Here is a 21,508-nt window from a genome sequence, read left to right on the forward strand (position 1 = left end):
GAAGACATGCTGGGAAAACCTATTAATTCAAAAATTATTAGTAGTAATATTACCATTTTGAATTGTTCCACACTTCGTAAGACATTAAAAATTCATTCCTAAAAAATAAAATGCTTCTCAAAGTAGAAATGCTATAAATAGTACAGGATTTCGCCACAAAAAAGATTTGCTAAGTGGCTTGAAAGCTGGTGCTTACAGATGAAATTAACACATATTCTTTAGAACTGTAGCTGCTGCTTTAATATCCCGATGAACTTTTTCACTTTGTGATCATCACAGTAATCATCAGAATGTTTGACACAACCATAAGATGCATTGTATCTTGTAGAGAATTAGGGTACATGTTTAACTCTTTAGGGAACATTTAAGTATCACCTAGGGAGGCAGAAAGGAAGACAGAAATTAAATGAATAAATCACTCAAGGTCACAGAGCAAAGTTGAGTCAGGAACTCACATATATTTTCACACAAAAAATGTATGTACTTTATACTTTTCCTTAGTACCTAACTTTTACAGAAAAAAAAATGCCTCCCACTAGAAGGTTGATCTGTTTCCATACTAAATCAAATTGAATTAATTTAACTTAACGTCACTTCAAAATATACCTTTCTTGAGTTTGTGTATTTCATCAGGAAAAGCAAACCAAACTAACTTTCCCATTATCTTTGTAATGGACTTTAATTACTTTATAGTCATTTAAGTGGTATTATATGACTATGAAAACAAAATGGCATTTCTTTATTTTTATTTAGTTTATATTACCAGCACAGATATCAAATAGACAGAAGCGTCAAAGGAAGCATTTAATTTATCTCCAGTGTACCAAACCAAAAAAGAATACTTTTGCAAGACAATATTTCTGTCAAAAAATGGCTGTACACTGGTGGTTATTCTGATTCATTTTTGATTTGTCTGATGAATCTTGTTTGATAGTACTCTGTTCTCAGACTAAATTAGAAAAGTGTATTATTTCCTATTCATTACTTAGATTAAATACAATCTAACACCATTGTGCCTTTTGTTCTTCCCTTCCAGGTGTAGATTTCAACTGAAACAATTTTAAACTAGAACAAGATTACATTATTGATAGAATTTGAAAAGACAAAATTAACTTTTCTATGATTGACATGATTTTTAAAGAAAATACCCTCCAAAAAGACCTATTAAAAAAGAAATGAAAACTTAAAAAAAAAACAAAACCTGAACAGGAATTAGGGAGCTCTTATTTATGAACATAAGAATAACTTTTGGTTTCAAAAAACCAAGAATATAGTATTTCCAGAACCATCTCCCTTCCTCCAATTTATATCTTTTCCTTTAGCTTTCCAAATTCCTATAAGGCAATGCCTCTTTCCTATATATTTTGCCTTCTGGTTGGAACTACCACATACTCTGTTTTGTTTTTACTAAGGGGTAGAATTATGACTCAATGGAAGCCCATCAGACACGTTCTTCTAAGTCTTGTCTTCAGCAGAGCAACAAAGACGGTAAGAATTAGAGCTGATTCCTCAAATAGGAGTGGCTCTAGGAAACTGTCTCTTATTTCCTGCTACCTGGATCCTTAGACCTGTCTTGTTGCATATTATTTATGACACTCATTTTCCCATCCATTAAATTTTCCCAGGCTGCCCAAGCCACCATCTGCTCTTCCAATGAATCTTCCCTTTGTGCCTCAGTAACCCAGAGTCATTCTTTGGTTCATCATAAAGAATACTAACTAACAGAAGCAAGGACTATATTATTAGATGAATAAGATATTTAAGATAAAGTGTTAAATATTGTCACCAAAGAAAATTATCTAAAAACAATATCATGATTAGAATTTTACATAAAAACATCTGTAGTACCTCAAGGATAAATTGCACCTCATCTTGAAGAAAAAATATATTTTTCCCCAAGAAACGGTGTATTACAACCATCTTCATGTAAATAGTCTCAAATGTTCCTGCTTTTTGAGATAAAAATGAAAAAAAATATGTTTCATTCCTCTTAATCATGCCTTTAAAGTAGACAGGCTGCTACAATTAGCACCTATACTCATGCTATTAAGACTTGAATTCAGTGTTTGCTGCCCTTTTTCTTCTCAAAACAAAACAGTAAATAAATAAAAACATAAGCTATAGAAGAAGGCACATACAGTAGATTTTAAGGATTTTTAAATTGGAAAGCAGTTGCCATCTGACTTCTTACAGCCTTTTAGCTTTAATACCTTCAGAGAAGTCAAAAACAAAATTTTCGTTGGATGGGTAGAGGTATCACTGAACGGAACTTCCACTATGAAAATCATGTTAGCAGCACTGGCACATTTTAAGTGATGTGACAAATAATGAAATAATTAAATTTTATTAGTTCACTATTTTCTGGCAAAATCAACACTCAACAGTGGGTTGAGACTGCGAAGAATGAAACTTCTATTTTAGTAGGAACTGGTAAGGGTTTTTTTTTTTCTGATTTTTTTCAACTTCTGTCCCTTGTCACTGCTACATTTTCCTCATTTCCCACACTTGCCTCCAACAATTGCTCAGAAAAATGAGGAAATTAACCTGTAGCATGTTCTCTGTGTTATTCTGAGGGTGGGAGAAAGCAATGTGCAAAATCTGTCAAATGAAATATGGATACCCAAATATGACTAATTAGGAAAAGTTTCTTGAAGATGTATTAAGCTTGGGTTCATTCACAGTTCCATTTTCTAAAAGTCAACAGTTTTATAACTGCTTGCCACTATGGAGAATAGTTCGTTGATAAAATGCATTAATTTTCATTGTATTGCTAAGCTATTAGGGTTTTTTTTTTCCCTGTGTGGTTGTTCTATAACTGAAAAAATCAATTTTTAATTAATATACAAATTATAATACACAATTTAACATGTAACATAGGATAATTTTATGAGTGCCTGAAGTTATTTAGATCATCTCATACTTTTAAGTTAACGAATGGACTTTATATCTATAATAAAAGCTTTTACTTGTAACAATGAGAACAGTTTATTACCTCTAACTTTTTTAAGCCTTCTCATTGCCCCTTTATATGAGTTTTAAAAACTGGAGAAAGTTTATGTCTATACTGTGATTGTTAACATTGAGTATCAACTTGACTGGATTGAAGGATGCAAAGTATTGTTCCTGGGTGTGTCTGTGAGAGTATTTCCAAAGGAGATTAACATTTGAGTCAATGGACTAGGAGAGGCAGACCCACCCTCAATCTAGGTGGGCACTATCTAATCAACTGCCAGCATAGCTAGGATAAAAACAGGCAGAGGAACATGGAAGGACTAAACTGGCTAAGTCTTTTGGCTTCCAACTTTCTCCTGTGCTGGATGCTTCCTGCCCTCAAACATCGGACTCCAAGTTCTTCAGCTTTTGGACCCTAGGACTTACACCAGTGGTTTGCCAGGGGCTCTCAGGCCTTCCGCCACAGACTGAAGGCTGCAGTATCACGCCTTACCTACTTTTCAAGTTGTGGGACTCGGACTGGTTTCCTGGTTCCTTAGCTTGCAGAGGCCTACTGTGGGACTTCACCTTGTGATTGTGTGAGTCAATTATCCTAATAAACTCCCTTGCATATACACATCTATCCTACTAGTTCTAACTCTCTAGAGAACCCTAATACATATACACATACAGTATTAAAAATTAAAATACAGAAACTGAATTGATATCTGTTTAAGTTATAATGATTTATGATCCAATTTTACATTAATTTTAGTTTCATCACTGCAATATGTTATGCCCTGTGTTCAGCATAGAGGTCACAGTTAAGATCTATTTCCTGCCTTTGAGAAGAACAAGATCCAGTGAAAAAAATGTACTAGTCTTTGTGATTCTCATAATTTCTCCCCACTTCACAATGCTAGAGAGTAATCCCATTAAATAATCTTAATATTTGGATGCTCCATGATTTGTTGTAAACAGTTATATATCTCCTGAAGCCCTCTCACTCTGAGTACATAAGATATTCTTACACACTTCAGAGAATCAGAGGCCATAGGAAGATCAGGTCCATACTCCCATCCTTTCAATGTACATATTTTCATCAACATATATTATTCTCCTTTTAGCACACGTGCTTAAAGATAGGTTTCTTCTTCTTTCCCTAAGATTTCATTTCATAAGTATAATATTTTCTCTATTATTTTTAATCTCACTTTCATAAGCTAAAGTTTTCTAGCCTTTAGCTTATATTGTTCAAATATCTCCTTTGTTTACAGGTGCTTAACTCTCAGTGTGCTATTTTAGATTTCTCCTGCCCCTTACTCAACCAGTAAGAAGGAGGAATTCTGGTATAGGCAAGAATAAATTGGTATCTTCCTGTACACCCAATTTGGCTATGATGTTAGGGTATCTTCTTATGAATGCAAGATTTGAAAATTTGCTCTTTCATGAAATTGGTGTATTTGGGTAGTGATGGTGGCAGGTTTGTTGCTCTATATACACCCCCAAGATCCCCCCCACATTTTTTTTTTTTTTTGAGACAGAATCTTGCTCTCTCGCCCAGGCTGGGGTGCAGTGGTGCGTACCCGGCTCACTGCAAGATCCGCCTCCCGGGTTCATGCCATTCTCCTGCCTCAGCATCCCGAGTAGCTGGGACTACAGGCGCCCGCCACCACGCCTGGCTAATTTTTTGTATTTTTAGTAGAGACGGGGTTTCACCGTGTTAGCTGGGTCTCGATCTGCTGACCTCGTGATCCACCCGCCTCGGCCTCCCAAAGTGCTAGGATTACAGGCGTGAGCCACCGCGCCCGGCCTATTTTTTCTCATTATCTTCTTCCTCACCCTCTTCTCCTCTTCCCCTTTGTCTCTTCCACTCCCTACTTTTTCAATACTCCTCCTCCTCTTCCTCCTTCTGCTTCTTCTTCTTCCCCTCTTTCTCTTATTTAAAATCCATATTTTGTTCTTTTTTCTGAGAAGGAGTTTCACTCTTGTTTCCCAGGCTGGAACACAGCGGCACAATCTCGGCTCACTGCAACCTCCCCTTTCTGGCTTCAAGCGATTCTCCTGCCTCAGCCTCCCGAGTAGCTGGGATTACAAGCACAGGCCACCATATCTGGCTCATTTTTTGTATTTCTTTAGTAGAGACAAGGGTTCACCATGTTGGCCAGGCTGTTCTCGAACTCCTGACCTCAGGTAATCCACTCGTCTTGGTCTCCCATAGTGCTGGGATTACAGGCGTAAGCCACTGTGCCCAGCCGGAATCCATCTTTATTATAGATCACCCACAGTAGAAAAACTGGATCCAGATTTCAGTCTTGGCCTCCTTTATTATTAGCAATTTATCCCCTCCATGAAATGAAATCAATTCATGATTGATTAATCAATTAGAAAATAATCTCTTCCTCTTTATTTCAATTTCCTTCCAAGTTACAATTTTTTTTTTACTGTTTTGAAACAAACCTTCTGAAGCATTGATGTCCATTTTGCATTTGCTATAGTCTTTCTCAGCATCAATTAAATTCTCAAGCCATTAAACCCTAAATTTTATTTTGACCATAATACAAAAATATTGTATTAAGGTTAACAATGACCTTGATTTTTCTGCATTTGTACTCTCATTTTTTTCACCTACCAATCTCACCATTGCACTTTGCTCTGTCTACACCAGTTTCTCTTTTTTCTTATAACCCTCTTTTATAGTACTTTCCTTTACTCTGCAACATTCTTCCTCAGAATTATTTGCTTGTGCTTCATTTTGAGATTAGCTATTAATGTTTTCCTTCTCTTTTCAGTTAAAATGATGTTTTTGATCACTCCATCTTATTCCATGACTTGAAATATGTTAGTGATTCTGTGTGTTTATTTCCAGTGATCTTTCTCTTGAATATTAGAATGATATTTCTAATTGTCATGTTGACATCTACACCCGAATACCCGACAAGCCCCTGGAAAATGAACATGTCCAAATTGCACTTAATATCTTTCTTGCCTCACTCATCCCACTTATGTACTATATTTAATTAAGGTTACTAACAGATGCAGTGGTACATGCCTGAATCCCAGCACTTTGGGAGTCTGAGGCGGGTGCATCACCTGAGGTCATTCGAGACCAGCGTGGCTACTAAAAATACTAGCTGGGCATATTGGCAGTTGCTTGTAATCCCAGCTATTCGGGAAGCTGAGGCAGGAGAATCACTTGAACCCAGGAGGCAGAGGTTGTAATGATCTGAGATCGGGGGTATTACCATTTACATTGACTCCAAAACCAGAATCCATAACTCCTCTTTCTAGCTCCTCCTCACACCAGTCTCATCGGATTCTGTCAGTGCCTCTTTTGAAGTATTTCTAAGTACAATCCTTTCTCCCTATCACTGTTTTACCACTACTACCACCATCATTACTCCTTCATGGATGATAATATTATGTCTAAGTCAGTAAATCACTCTTATTTTCTTTCTCTCCTGTCAACTGCACCCTCATCCCCATTTCTATTTCTATCTTGATGCTTCCAGATAATCATTTGAAAAAAACTAATTTAGCAATTTTATGTCTAGAAAATTCTGTCCTACTAAAATGATGAGAACAAATTTTAAAAAAAAGGCAGAAAGAGCAACAGTTAACTTTTCTTTCTATCTCCAAACCTTACCCACTTACCCCCTACAGCCTATTTTGTATACCCTTAGCTCTAGATTAGAACAGATACTAGATTTTTCAAGTCTTCCAAATTTTCTCTGGAGTAGGGCATCATTAAATTGTGTGATTTCAAAGAGGATCATCGTAGACAAAACAAGGCTTAATGCATACTAAGCTGTGAACACAACTAGTAAGTATGTTCCTTAGTTTTAATGTATTTCTATTGCATCTTAGAAGGAATTCTTCTAAAATTACAGGTAATTGCATGGAATAAAGCAAATATGAAACCTTAAAAGACTTTCTGAAGGGATACTGCACAAAGATAATATAGTGTTCAAAAATGTTTAAAAGTTATACTTTTGAAAGTGCACTGGTATTTACAAATTCTCTTAGGGCAGAAATTGGCAGAAAATATGATTTTGTCTGAAGACAAAATAAATTGTCTTTTTTTTTCGCTAGAGTCCTTATTGCCTATAAGATTAAATTAAAGCTCTTTATCAAATATTAATGCTTAGATCACTTTTCATGGTTAAAATTTCTCATAACTTAGTAGTAACATTAACATTTAAGTCTAGAAGTGATAATATCTCTGGGAAAAAAACTTTTATTTTCCCATTTAGTCTAAGTCTGGGAAAAGGAAGAAGCTACGAAGTGCTTCCATAGGCATACAAGATTTGGACAGCTTAAAGAAATCTGTAGACTACCATACTTACCTCCATCTTTCAGGAAGTTTTATAGTCAGGTCTTGCCTTTACTCCTGTTATGGACTCCTTTAATACTGGTTTGAAATTTTTGTAAGACTTTGCAATTAAACATAGTAATCACTCTCAATGGACAGCATATGTGTTTATCATCCCAGTAACTCCAGACTCCTGTTTTCTCTCTGGCTCCTAGAGTGATGTTGGCTGTCATAATCTTCCGAGAGCATACAATTATGTGATTGAATTCATTACTCTGAACCATTCAGAAGTCTGCTATTGATGACTGTTCCTGATTTACCTAGCTTAAATTTGTAGCAATATTGACTAAGGTTTGTATCTTTCATGCGAAACTTCAGTCAAGAGTGTTCTACTGGGTCTTCTACAACTACTTTCCAACCTAAATCTTTACTTTCAACCCTATCCTCTTATCACAAGTCAAACTTCTAATCACATTAATCTTCAAAATGCACCTCTAATTATCCTTGTTATGAAGAATTTCTCTTCAGCAGAGTTACTGGACTTTTCTGTTTCTTCAGCATTCTGTTTATGGTGTTTAGCATCTCTAGTAGGGCAGCTGGGACATTGTATTTTAATTAGCAGCTCACATGTCATTCTCCTAGCCTAGACATTGAGTGCCTGAAGAGTAACACTGTGCCCTTTACATCTCTTTATCTCAAGCACATAAAATAGCCCCTACAACACGAGTATTTCATATTTGCTTAGTGGGGAATAAAAGGGATTGTATTACTGAATACCTGAATGAATAAAAATGACCTTGTATGGTATGTTTACTATTATTCCACTTTGGAGCTAAGCACATCATCTTTTTATAGATGGCTTTGCCATATTTTAAGTCCTTTCAAAAGTACTTGATATTCATAACCTCACTGTGAAGCAGACAGAGCTGATATCATTGTCTCATTTTAGAGATGAGGGCATTGGTGTTTAGAGCAAAAGAGACTAAATAAACTAAGATAAAAAACTACGCTAGAACCCAGATCTCCTGACTTCATGAATAGTAAAATATAAAGTGACATTCTAGTTTATGTTATCTATTACATATAGACAAGGGGAAATTGAGTTGTCTACTACCAAATAAGGTGAACTATCTATTTTGAATTCTCAGTAGAGAAAGAAGAAATACAAAATCATAATTTCTGCCAATTTCTGCCCTGAGAGAATTTGTAAATACCAGTGCACTTTCAAAAGTACAACTTTTAAACATTTTTGAACACTGTATTATCTTTGCACAGTATCCCTTCAGAAAGTCTTTTAAGATTTCATATTTGCTTTATTCCATGCAATTACCTGTAATTTTAGAAGAATTCCTTCTAAGATGCAATAGAAATACATTAAAACTAAGGAACATACTTACTAGTTGTGTTCACAGCTTAGTATGCATTAAGCCTTGTTTTGTCTACGATGATCCTCTTTGAAATCACACAATTTAATGATGCCCTACTCCAGAGAAAGTTTGGAAGACTTGAAAAATCTAGTATCTGTTCTAATCTAGAGCTAAGGGTATACAAAATGGGCTGTAGGGGGTAAGTGGGTAAGGTTTGGAGATAGAAAGAGAAGTTAACTATTGCTCTTTGTCTCTCTCTTTTTAAAATTTATTCTCATCATTTTAGTAGGACAGAATTTTCCAGACATAAAGTTGCGTGGAAAGGTGCACTACAAAGACAATTGAAAGTTTTTTTAGAATATTAACGATCTTGGATCCTGCACCATTCCAGTTGTATCATAATACAGTGGGGAATAATAACAAGTAAACTGTAATACTATAAAAGTCAAGTTAGGAAGAATTTAAACATAAGATATTTCCTTCTGGTGCTTTATGACTTCCCACTTAAGTTACTTTCTAATCTGTGGCATGTTGTACTGCTCATTCAAAGGCAATCCATTAATCAACAAAAACCAGTGTGTTCTCCAGAAATCTGTGGCTCTCATTGTTTGCCCAGAGTACACTGTTATCTTGTCTAAACAAAGTAGTTTCCTGTAAATAACCATACTTTTCCTTCCTTTTTGAAATATACCTGTTCCACATCCCATTTCAAGGAATATAATTTTTGTTATGGCACGTATCTAATTGTCTTAGTCATTTTCTATTGTTATAAAAAATACCACAGACTGAGTAATCTATAAAGAAAATAAGTTTATTTAGTTCACAGTTCTGAAGGTACTCTCAAGAACATGGCACTGGCATCTGGTGAGGGCCTTCTTGCTGCAGCATGACATGGCAGAAGGCATTATATGGCAAGAGAACAAAAGTAAGAGAACCACAGAGAGCTCTCTTTTATAACAAAGTTACTCCAGCAATAACAAACAAACTCTCATGATAGTTAGTGGCATTAATTCATTCATGAGGGCAGAGGGATTAAATTCCAGCACAAGAACTTTCGGAGGACACACTTAAACTGTAACACTAGCTGATAAAGGTGTTTGCTATTATTTTAATGGCTAACAATTCTTACGACAGAAAGAAATCAAAATTTCATTTTTAATTCATATTTCTCCTGGAAAACAATTCTTAAGTAAAATAGATTTCCTTGTTAATTATTTTTTTAGCTTTATTTATTTATAAACTAACAGTCTTCTATTTTAATGATCAGTTTTATGAATTTTGGTGATTATACACAGTTGTATAACCACTACCACAATCAAAATATAGAACAGTTTTATTCCCTTTCAGATGTTTTCTTCCCTTTTTATTGTCTTTCCTCAACCATTGTCTTTAGATATATAATACTGATCTGATTTCTGCCATTATAGTTTTGTCTTTGCTAGTATTTTATATAAATGTAATCAAACAGTATATAGTAAACTGTCCTTATATATGGGTGTGTGTGTGAGGGATACAATCCAAGACCTCCAGTGAATGCCTAAAACCATGGCTGTTAACAAACATATATATATATATATGTTTGTGTGTATACACACATGTATATATACCCTAAATGTGTGCGTGTGTATATATATATACACACACACTATATATATATACACAAACACATAAATACACACACTAAGTGTATATATATACCTAGTATATTTATATATGTAAACATATATAGTACAGTATATGTATAGTGTGTGTATGATTTATATATTATAAACTATATATAGTTTATAACAGGTCTAATAAGAGATTAATAAAAATAACTAATAATAAAGTGGAATAATTATAACAATATAGTATAATAAAATTATGTGAATGTGGTATCTCTGTCTTGCTCTCTCAAAATATCATATCATACTTAAGTGCAGGTAACTGAAACTGCAGAAAACAAAACCATGGATAAGGGGGACAAACGTATATTCTGTTTTTAACTTATTTTACTTAAAATAATGCTTTTGAGATTTATGTATATGGATAAATGTATTAGTAATTTTTCCCCTTTTCATTACTGTAATATAAAATAAACCAATTTGGACCATGTGTTTTGGCCCGTAGGTTGTTTGTTTCTTCAGGGCACTCTGAGATCCATTAGCACAAAAGCCTACTGACACCACATTCGAATTTTTACACATGTAATTGTTTTTTAAAACAGCCAAACAAGCAGAGTTTTTAGTCATTTAGGGTCTGCTTGCTTTGCATATTCTGCAAAACTACACTCAACATCTGTTGGTCATTGATAACCTAGAACCGTTTGGTTATAAGACCCCAAATGACCATTGCCATTCAGAGGTCATTGGTAACTTACTAAGAGACTCCCCTGCTGCTGAATGACAATACCTAGACATGTAAGCTCTCGCTCTGATTCCCCTTTGCCCCCAGAGTTCTCTGTCTACATGGTGTCCCTCACCTTAAGCCTCTGGACAGTTTCATGATATAAGAGACCGCCCCTCTCTTGCAGTTCTGTCCAAACATCAACCAATAAAGCTTGTTCTGTTTTACTGACTTATTGATCATATGTATTTTCTTGATCACTTCCCAAATCCTGTAGAACCCCTACAATTATAAGATAGTATTCTGTATCATAGATATTAGCACATTTTCTTTATTAATTAAGTGATGGACATCTGTTTCCAGTTTTTGTCTTTTATCCATAATGCTGCTTTAACATTTACATACCAGTCGGCTGGGTGCCGTGGATCACGCCTGTAATCCCAACACTTTGGGAGGCCGAGGTAGGTGGATCACGAGGTCAGGAGATCGAGACCATCCTGGCTAACACAGTGAAACCCCGTCTCTACTAAAAATACAAAAAATTAGCAGGGCGTGGTGGCGGGCGCCTGTAGTCCCAGCTACTTGGGAGGCTGAGGCAGGAGAATGGCTTGAACCCAGGAGGCAGAGCTTGCAGTGAGCCGAGATCATGCCATTGCACTCCAGCCTGGGCAACAGAGCAAGACTCCGTCTGAAAAAAAAAGAAAAAAATGTACATACAAGTCTGCAGACATATGTTTCCATTTATTTTTGAAAAAATACAGAAAATGTGCCTAAGTCATATGGAAAATATGTTTAGCTTTAAAAGAAAATAACCAAATTGTTCCCCAAAGTGGCTATACCACTTTGTATTTCATTAAGAATGCATGAGCTTTACGTGTTCCACATTATCTTCAGCAAATGCCATTGTCAGTTGTTTCTGTTTTTGTTTTAACTTTAGCAAGACTTGTGGGTGGATAATGGGATCTCATTGTGGTTTCTCTTTGCATTCTCTGAAGATTGTGATGGGAGTATCTGTTCATGAGCTCATTGGCCATGCAGATATCTTTATATATATATATATATATATATATAGTTTTTTATATATATAGTTTATATATATATAGTTTAAGTTCTGGGATATCTTCTTTTTAAAGTGCTTGTTCAAACAATTTGCTTTTTCAAAAATGGATTGTTAGTTTTATTAATGAGTCATGTGAGTATTTTTTATTCTGGATGAAAAACATTTGTTAAATATATATTTTACATTATTTTCTCTCAATCTCTGACATGCCTTTTCATTCTCTCAACTGTATCTTTAGAAAAGCACATAAAGTTCATTCTAGTAAATGTTATCTCTTATAGTTTGTACCTTTTTGGTCTTTGTAAAGAAATTTGTACCTTACCAAATAGCACAAAGCTTTCTACCTTTTTTTTTTTTTTTTTAGAAATTTAAGAGTTTTGGCTCTTACATTAAGTCTGTAGTCTATTTCATGTTAATTTATGGGGGTAGTATGAAATATGGATCTAGGCTCATTTATTTTTCCATACAGTTATCTAATTGGTCTAGCCCTATTTTTTGAAAAGACTATCTTTTCCCTGTTAAATTATCTTGGCACATATTCCAAAAATCAATTTACTGCTTAAACATGAATCTATAATTTGTAATTTTTAAATGCTTGTTTTCTGACCCTAGCAATCCATCCTCTACACTGCTGCCCTATTGACACATATAAAATAAAAATATTGTCATCCCACTCTCCTACTTAGAATATTTTAGTAATTTCATACTCCCAACAGAATAAATTCAAGGCACACTCACATTGTCCAAAATACCCTTCACAATTTTGGATAGTAGAGGGGGGCCTATTGAAAAGAAAGGTATACAATGTGCAAGGACACAAAAGGTGTGTTTTTTACCCAAAATTTATCCAAAAGTATGGTAAATTTTTGAGATTCCCAAGACTTTTGTATTGCTGCAATATAGGAAATTAGGTGACATATATTCATCTAATCAATAAATTTTTTTTATTTTTTTTTCTTTTCCCAGTGTCTTCTTTCTATTCATCTTTATATCTTAGCTTCATGGTCTAGTTCAGTGCAACTACACGTATCATTCTCTGGCGGGCATCTTCAGCATCACATGGTAGTTTGTGTCAAGAGACAAAATTACAATAAATTTAGTTTAAAGATCTTAATTGTCTTTTATTTGCAACTCTAGAATCATGCAGCAACTCATTCTGTAAGGCAGAATGTGTATTCAAATGAGCCGATCTGGGGAGGTTGGTTTTATAGACAGAAAAGGGCAGAGGAAAGCAGAAACAGAAAACAAAATGTCATTTAAAAGTTACTTTTCTTGTACAACTCAAAGCAGAGGGGATTTGGGGATTTCTTTATCCAGTTTTCACTGGCCTGTTTCGATATTTGACTGTTTCTCTCTCTTGATTTTTTGGAAGGTCAAATAATTTAGTTTCTGCTTGGTGGCCTGGAACTTCAGAATGAGTGATTCCATTTTGGTTTGGTTTGTTGGGCCTAGTGCAGGAGCTCAGTCCAGACCAATGACCTCCTATACATTTTGTTTAACATTTGTTAGTGATGCAACATCTCAGGCCCCACCCAAGAATAACCGAATCAGAATCTCTGAGGGAGACATGAAGAATCAGTGTTGTAATAAGCCGTTCTAACTTATTAATATGCATGCTTATTGTTTGGTATGACCTGTATGTTCTGTTCCTTTAGCATTTCTTTTATAATGTTAAGATTTCTTACGCATGGTCGCCCATGTTTAAATGTCTTAAAATATTAAATATTTTGATTACAAGAAAACATATTCAGAGACATTTGAAATTCTTGAAAGTAGTTACTAATTATCTGTCAACTGTCAGTACTAAGTATGCTAAATAAACAGATATGGTTTTCACTCGAGTGACGCTTTACTGTTCATTTCCTGAAGTTTAAAAACATACCACGTGAATTCTTAAGATAAAATCAGGAAAAAGAGAAAAAATTCTGGGAGATGTATTTTGAAAGTTCATATCAAACCGTAACAATCCTCTTTTTAATGAAATATGACAACAATCATAAAAATTTTATCCTTTAATATGTTAATGTTGTAAATTACATTAATATATTTTCTAGTGTTGAATGGTTCTTAGTTGAAATCTTCTTGGCTACCATGTATTTTTAATTTTTCTGTTATTCTGTTAAATTTTATTAATTTAATTCATGAAAAGCTCGTGATTAGGTAATATATTTATGTGATTCAAAAACAAAACTATTTTTAAAATATATTCTGAGAAACATCACTCCATCTCTGTCCATTCACTTCATTCCACAATTTTTATTAGTTTCTCATTTATTCTTTCACATTTTATGTAAATAAAAGCAAATATGTTTCTACTTAGCACCTTCCTAATCTTATAAAATGTGGCATAATATGTCCATGATTATGCATCTTGTTTTTTCTTTCTCTTAACAAAAATATTCCCCAAGTCTCTCCATACCTGGATTTAGAAAATATTTTAACTGTGTACTTCTTTACTAAATAAAAGACAATTTATTTTGCCGGACTCTTATTGCTGGATACTTAAATTGTTTCCAATCATTTGTTATCCTGAAGCATGCCACACTTACCAACTTCGTGTGTGTGTGTGTAATGTATATAACATATATGTTACCTATATATAACATATATAACATATATTACATATATAATATATATAACATATATTACATATATTACATATATAACATATATAACATATATTACATATATAACATATATTACATATATAACATATATTACATATATAACATATATTACATATATAGCATATATTACATATATTACATATATTACATATATAGCATATATTACATATATAACATATATAATATATATAGCATATATTACATATATAACATATATAATATATATAGCATATATTACATATATAACATATATAATATATATAGCATATATTACATATATAACATATATAATATATATAGCATATATTACATATATAACATATATAATATATATAGCATATATTACATATATAACATATATAATATATATAGCATATATTACATATATAACATATATAATATATATAGCATATATTACATATATAACATATATAATATATATAGCATATATTACATATATAACATATATAATATATATAGCATATATTACATATATAACATATATAATATATATAGCATATATTACATATATAACATATATAATATATATAGCATATATTACATATATAACATATATAATATATATAGCATATATTACATATATAACATATATAATATATATAGCATATATTACATATATAACATATATAATATATATAGCATATATTACATATATAACATATATAATATATATAGCATATATTACATATATAACATATATTATATATAGGATATATTACATATATAACATATATAATATATATAGCATATATTACATATATAACATATATAGCATATATTACATATATTACATATATAACATATATAGCATATATTACATATATAACATATATAACATATATAGCATATATTACATATATAACATATATTATATGTATATAACATACATAACATATATTATATATTACATGTATATAACATATATGTTATATATTACATGTATATAACATATATAATATATATTATATATTACATATACATGTAATATATGTGTATATATGTAATATATGTATATATATGTAATATATATATGTGTATATATATATGACCCAATTTTTTAAATTCCACGATTGGAATTTCCAGGTCAAAGGGTAAATGCATCTGCAATTTTGGTGAATATTTTCAGATATCTACCTTCTTCAACGGAACTGTTTCATTGTGTATGAGCTGGCCTCATAGATACAGCAGTTTTCAATTTTTTGGATAGTTTGTTAGTTTTAGAATAAATGTGTTCCTTTTTATATATGTGCAATTTGATATATTTTCATACATTTGTCCAATCAACTATCTGTTCACATTCTTTGACTATTTTTCCAATGGGTTATTTGTCTTTCACTGTTGATTTCTAGAAGTCGTGTTTTGTTTTGTTTTTTTTACTAAAAGAGAGACAAATCCCAAGTTTGTTCTGAACAACTAGATAGAGAAAATTTGGAAAAGGTGGAGGTTTGTGGAGAAGGCAAGTAGAAATTAAGAGTTTGATTTTTGACATGTTAAATTTGAGATATCTGTGAGACATTAAAAGTAGATGTAAATTAGGCCGTTGGATGTTCCAATTTGGAACTCGAAGGAGAAAAGTGGGCTGCTGATATAAATTTGGTATTCATTAGCATATAGATGGTAATGAAAGTTCTGGGAATGGAGGAGCTCATCTAGGACAAAAAGGTAAAAGAGAGTGGAAAAAGAGACCAGAACTGTTCCTTAAGACACTTAAATATTTACAGTGGGCAGAGCAGCACTTCACTAAGAGGTCAGAGATACTGATTTCCCCAGGTACTGGATTAGCCAGGCTGAGCCTATACCAGCTGGATCCCCTGGGCCAGCTGCCTCTGAGAAATGGAGACTCTATTAATGACTCCGCCAATGGAAGTTAGAGCAGTGGGCTCTGATGGTATACCCTACAATCTATATAAATGGGGAGCATGAGGAAGACATGTTCACTTGCTAATCCTCTACACAGGCTGAATGCAGTTAAGGAGATGCCTGACCACCCAGACGCTCTATTTGAGCAGCTAGCTATGGTTTACAACATGGTTCATTTTGAGCAAAATATCATGCTCCAGATCCCAAGAAAACAAACTGACTTTGACCAGCTTCTTGTTAACTCTCCATCATTTACATGTATATTTATATATAAATATGCTTTTCTCCAGTATTTTAAAGAACGAGAATTATTTAATAGAGCATATAGTGAAGTTAATGTTACAAATATTCAGGAAATGAACTGATATCATGAAATATATATGTGAAAGTTTTAACTGTTATTTTCATTGTTGAAACTAAATGTGAGTTTTTTTTTCTTTTTGGTTATCTGTGTTTTTGTTTTGGTTCTTCTAATAATCAACACATATGTACTACACATGTAAAATAAGTTACTTTATGTATTTAAGCTAGCAAAAGGGAGAACTAGGAGCAATGCTCATTCTCTGTGAATTTATTTTTAAAATAAAAACATATAAACAGTTTTAAAATTGATAAATTAGATGTAACTACATTATTGGCCTAATTATTATCTCTTCATTGTATTAGTAAGTTTTGCTATTGAAGTCTTTCAAAAATATTTTCTATTGAAATAAAATTCTCATTTGTAATTTGATTCAGTAGAAAGAGCCTGTAGTTTTTATTTCATTTTTCATTATGGGCAATGACATTTAGATCCATTTGTCATTTAAATGCAAAAGTTTTCACACAGAATTACCTCAGTTAAAGTGCAGTTTTAATTAATTCAATTGCATCAGCCACCTCTTGCCCACATCACCTTACCCTGCTAGGAGGTGCTATTACAGAAATGCAAACAATATTGCAAAACAAGATCAGAAAGTGATTTGCTGGGGGCAAGGTGAGGAACGTACTTGGGATTTGGGGATGAGAAGAGCCTTTCCTTGTGGTTACCTAGAGTAGCAAAGATTAAAATGTGTTGCCTTGGGCAGCCTGTGGCTCTTTCTTCTTAAAATCTAACTTTTCAAAGGCTTTGGCATCTCATTACCACACATATGTGTAGTTCTCCAATTGCCTCCCTTTTGGAATATCTCATTACCTCACTTCGTTTATATATCTAACAAAATCCCCTTTAGTTATGTACATCTCATTACTCTCTGGCCAAGGTTGACCTTGACACCTCTGGACCTTATTTGTCTTGCAATATGTAGCTGTTAATGATTCATTTCCATCTGTGTCATTTATTAAAACATTTAAAGGCATAACTACATAAGAAATCTGCCTTCATTTTATAGGTTTGCCCTTTCAAATTTAAGAATGAAAAGCATATTTATTTCACTCGAGTAGTTTGTCTACAATTTGAGTGAGTTACCACCATGTGATGTTTAACCAGATACAATATCAGTAACTTTTGCTGAACCATTCTCTGACGCATTTAATAAAATACATTGATGGTGTAGTTAGTAAAGTGAATAGGATAGATCCAGGCTACTAATAATTCATAAAATAATTATGATATTAAAATACATGCCTTGGGCCGGGTGCGGTGGCTCACGCCTATAATCCCAGCATTTGGGAGGCCTAGGTGGGCCAATCACAAGGTCAAGAGTTCAAGACCAGCCTGGCCAACATGGTGAAACCCCATCTCTACTAAATATACAAAAAATTGGCTGGGTGTGGTGGTGGGCACCTGAAATTCCAGCTACTTGGGAGGCTGAGACAGGAGGATTGCTTGAACCCAGGAGGCAGAGATAGCAGTCTGCCGAGATCACCCTGATGCACTCCAGCCTGGGCGAGAGGGTGAGAATCCATCTTAAAAAAAAAAAATGCCTTAACTGCTAGATGCCTTATAATTGCTGATGAGTGGGTAATATAGTCAATTAAAGGGTAATGAAAGCAATGCACTAATGGAGGATTTTTATATGCCATATTATCCCATAACACCAGCATAATACATTTGTAGCCCAACTTCTCCAAATACCACAAACATCCCTTCTTCAGATACAAAACTGGAACACACTGTTCTGTAACTTTAAATCTAATTTACAATTAGAGATAAAATACAATATTAAAAGCAGATATAAAATTATTTTTTCAGGTTCCTTTATTCCAATAATGTGTCTTAAAAGATTAAAATTATATCAACTATATCAATGGGTCGCAACTTTATTTCTCCTTAAAATACAATTTTTAACGTTGTAACATATAAGCATTCCCTAAAACATCCTTTGAGAGATTTTGGGTGCCTCCTTTCAGAAAATCACTTATGTAGCTAAAACAGGAGTAGCTTAATTTGGACCATATATGACCTACTGATTGGAAGTTTCATTCAAATGTACTAGATAGATGGCTCATTAATCTCTGAACTAGGTAAATGCTACTGCCACAGCACCATCTCCAACCCAATTCCAGGAAATGTACATTAATGTCTACTGAAATTCAATAGGAGGAATTCCTACCTAATTAAGGCATCAGTCTGATATTAGTGATCCCATTTGGAAAGCCCTGAATGTTCAAGGATATTCAGAGATTTAGGGAGTTCCATGGATGTTTTAGACCTCTCTCATCCACCATTTCTCCAACCTAAGCTCCTTGGTAATTGTGTAACAGAAAGTAAGGGAATTTTCTCGTCTTTTATCAATTTCAAACCTTGCGTCCACCACAAATACTACTTACAGCTGCATCAATAATGGGTTTTGCTGCCCCTCAGCTTTAAACCATCAAAATAGATTTTCCCAAACAATGGGAAAGGCTGTTTATGACAATATCACCCAGGCTCTTCCTCCTTAAATGCCTATATCTGCCTTTGTATGTAATTAGTCCTGGGTAAGGTAAATTAATCCATATGGCATTGAGTGTTACTGACAATCAACACTATGATGATCCAAGGCTACGGTAGGCAGAGTCTTCTATGCCACAAGAACAGAGTAAGATCCAAAGTCTTTCAGATGTAGACCCAAAGTAGAAAGAGAGCAAAGCGTTGTTCTATTAGCTGGCAGGCTGGCAATAACACTACTTTGGCAGGACACGGGGCTGTGTTCTAAAACCAAAACATAGACTACAGTGAGAATTGATGGCCCTAAATCAGACCAGTGAGTTTCAACCTTCTGAAAGGAATGGACCTTGTCTAGTTTACTGCTGTGTACATAGTTCCGAAACTACTATATTTGCTTGAGTAGGGTGTTAAATGATATTTATTAATTGATGGTATACAAACATGTATGATGTACATTCCCTGGGCAAAGACATCCCAGTAGAATGAACTTCTGCTACATTTATTCATAATTTCTGAATATCCCAGGGCAAACTAAGAATATATCTACATTTTAAAACCTTCTTCTTACAGCTCTATCATACTCTTATGGAAATGAATATTTTCATCAAAGTGATGCAATTACTCTCTGTTATCAACCTCTCATTTACTTCTGTAAAAATATCGGTCCCTGTTCATTAAAGACTGTTCCTTCTCTACAAATCCAGGCACTTAAAACAATCTTCTTGGTTTGTGTTTGATTTGGAAAACAGCTTTGAGAATGTTTCACGTCTAACTATACCACTAGATACCCACAGATCGATGGCCAGAGAGAATGTTTCAGCTAATAACCAGAACATGTGAATAACTAAGAACTCTTCAACTTAATTTTATAGACTGTACATGGTGTGATGTTGGATTTGATACTAAATAAATCTCATCATAATAATACCAGATAGAAATTATTTTCAATGTTATTATATATCTAATTAATCATTTACTTTTTATATCATTTATATCCAAACTTACAATGAGAAAGAAATTAGAAATTATAATGACTTGTCAATGCTCTGTTGGTGGCCTTAATAAAAATTATTTAATTCATAGTTTGGGTTTATTATTAATACTCAAAAATTAAAAAAAACAAATTAAAAAATAAGTGCCATCTCCCTTGGTGTATAACTTCTACTTAGTTTACACGTTACTACTTCATGGATTCTTTCCCTGAGTGTCTACAGTATTAGAAAAGTGACTTTTTAATGCATCTCCATATTGCTAGTAACCTTTTCTACTGAAAAATAAAGAAGCAGTGGGCTTTAAAAGATATTTTACCTAAGGCTAGCATAATTTGAAGCATGAAATCCATTTTTATTTTTTATCATTTTGACAAGTGAACTTTAGGAGGGCAAAAACAATTTTTAACAAGTAGAGAAACTGCTTAGATAGCATTAGAAGAAAAATTATGCTGTGCTATTTTGTTTATTCTTCAATATTTCATGTGTCACTGTCATTAAGCTTGACAGACTTGAAGCAAGCAGTATTTTTAAAGGGTACATTTTACTGCTTCCTAAACAAAAAAAATCAGTTTTTGGACAGCACTATTTATTTTCAAAGTAAAGGACAGTTATATATAACAGACTGAGTAACTTAACAAAATATTCTGATTTATTTGTTTCTTGATACAAAGGTTTAATTTTTGAAGCTTGAATGATGAGAAGTTATTAATTCTAGCCATTATAATGTATTTATTTGCTTATTGAAATGTAATATAAAATTTCACCATCACTCCCTGCCCTTAAAAGAATGCCTGGTTTCTTTAATGCAATATTTCAAAACTAATGAGTCTTATTTTTGGCAAGACACATCTGCATTTATTCTGAATAAAAGCTTCAAATGATATTTTTAAAGAATGATTTAAAATTCTTGTACTTTATATATGTTGTCAGCCTTGATCACGTAAAAAAGTAAATTTATATTCATAGCTAAATCAAAGACAGTGCCCATATTATTTTTTGCTGCTTTTAATATTAATCCTGCTTTTGTATTCTCAGTGAATAACCATGTGTCTTTCCATATAGTTTAAATTGAAATTAAATATTTTGCAATTAAAACCAATTATTATTTATTTCAATTTTTATGAACACCAGAATATATAGAATGATAATAAACATAATATAG

At 33.2% G+C, this 21,508-nt stretch overlaps 1 long non-coding RNA gene across 2 annotated transcripts in view; it reads right to left on the bottom strand.

Moving 5' to 3' along the window:
- Positions 1–310: 310 nt before the first annotated feature.
- The window catches only part of LOC105369895 (uncharacterized), a 47,008-nt gene continuing 25,810 nt past the window's right edge, over positions 311–21,508 (bottom strand). For both annotated transcript variants that reach the window (XR_945187.2, XR_945188.2), the window contains exon 3: positions 311–375. This is a non-coding gene — a long non-coding RNA (uncharacterized LOC105369895). The remainder of the gene's footprint in view (positions 376–21,508) is intronic.

Source organism: Homo sapiens, chromosome 12 (assembly GCF_000001405.40).
Source record: "Homo sapiens chromosome 12, GRCh38.p14 Primary Assembly".
Lineage (NCBI taxonomy): Eukaryota > Metazoa > Chordata > Mammalia > Primates > Hominidae > Homo > Homo sapiens.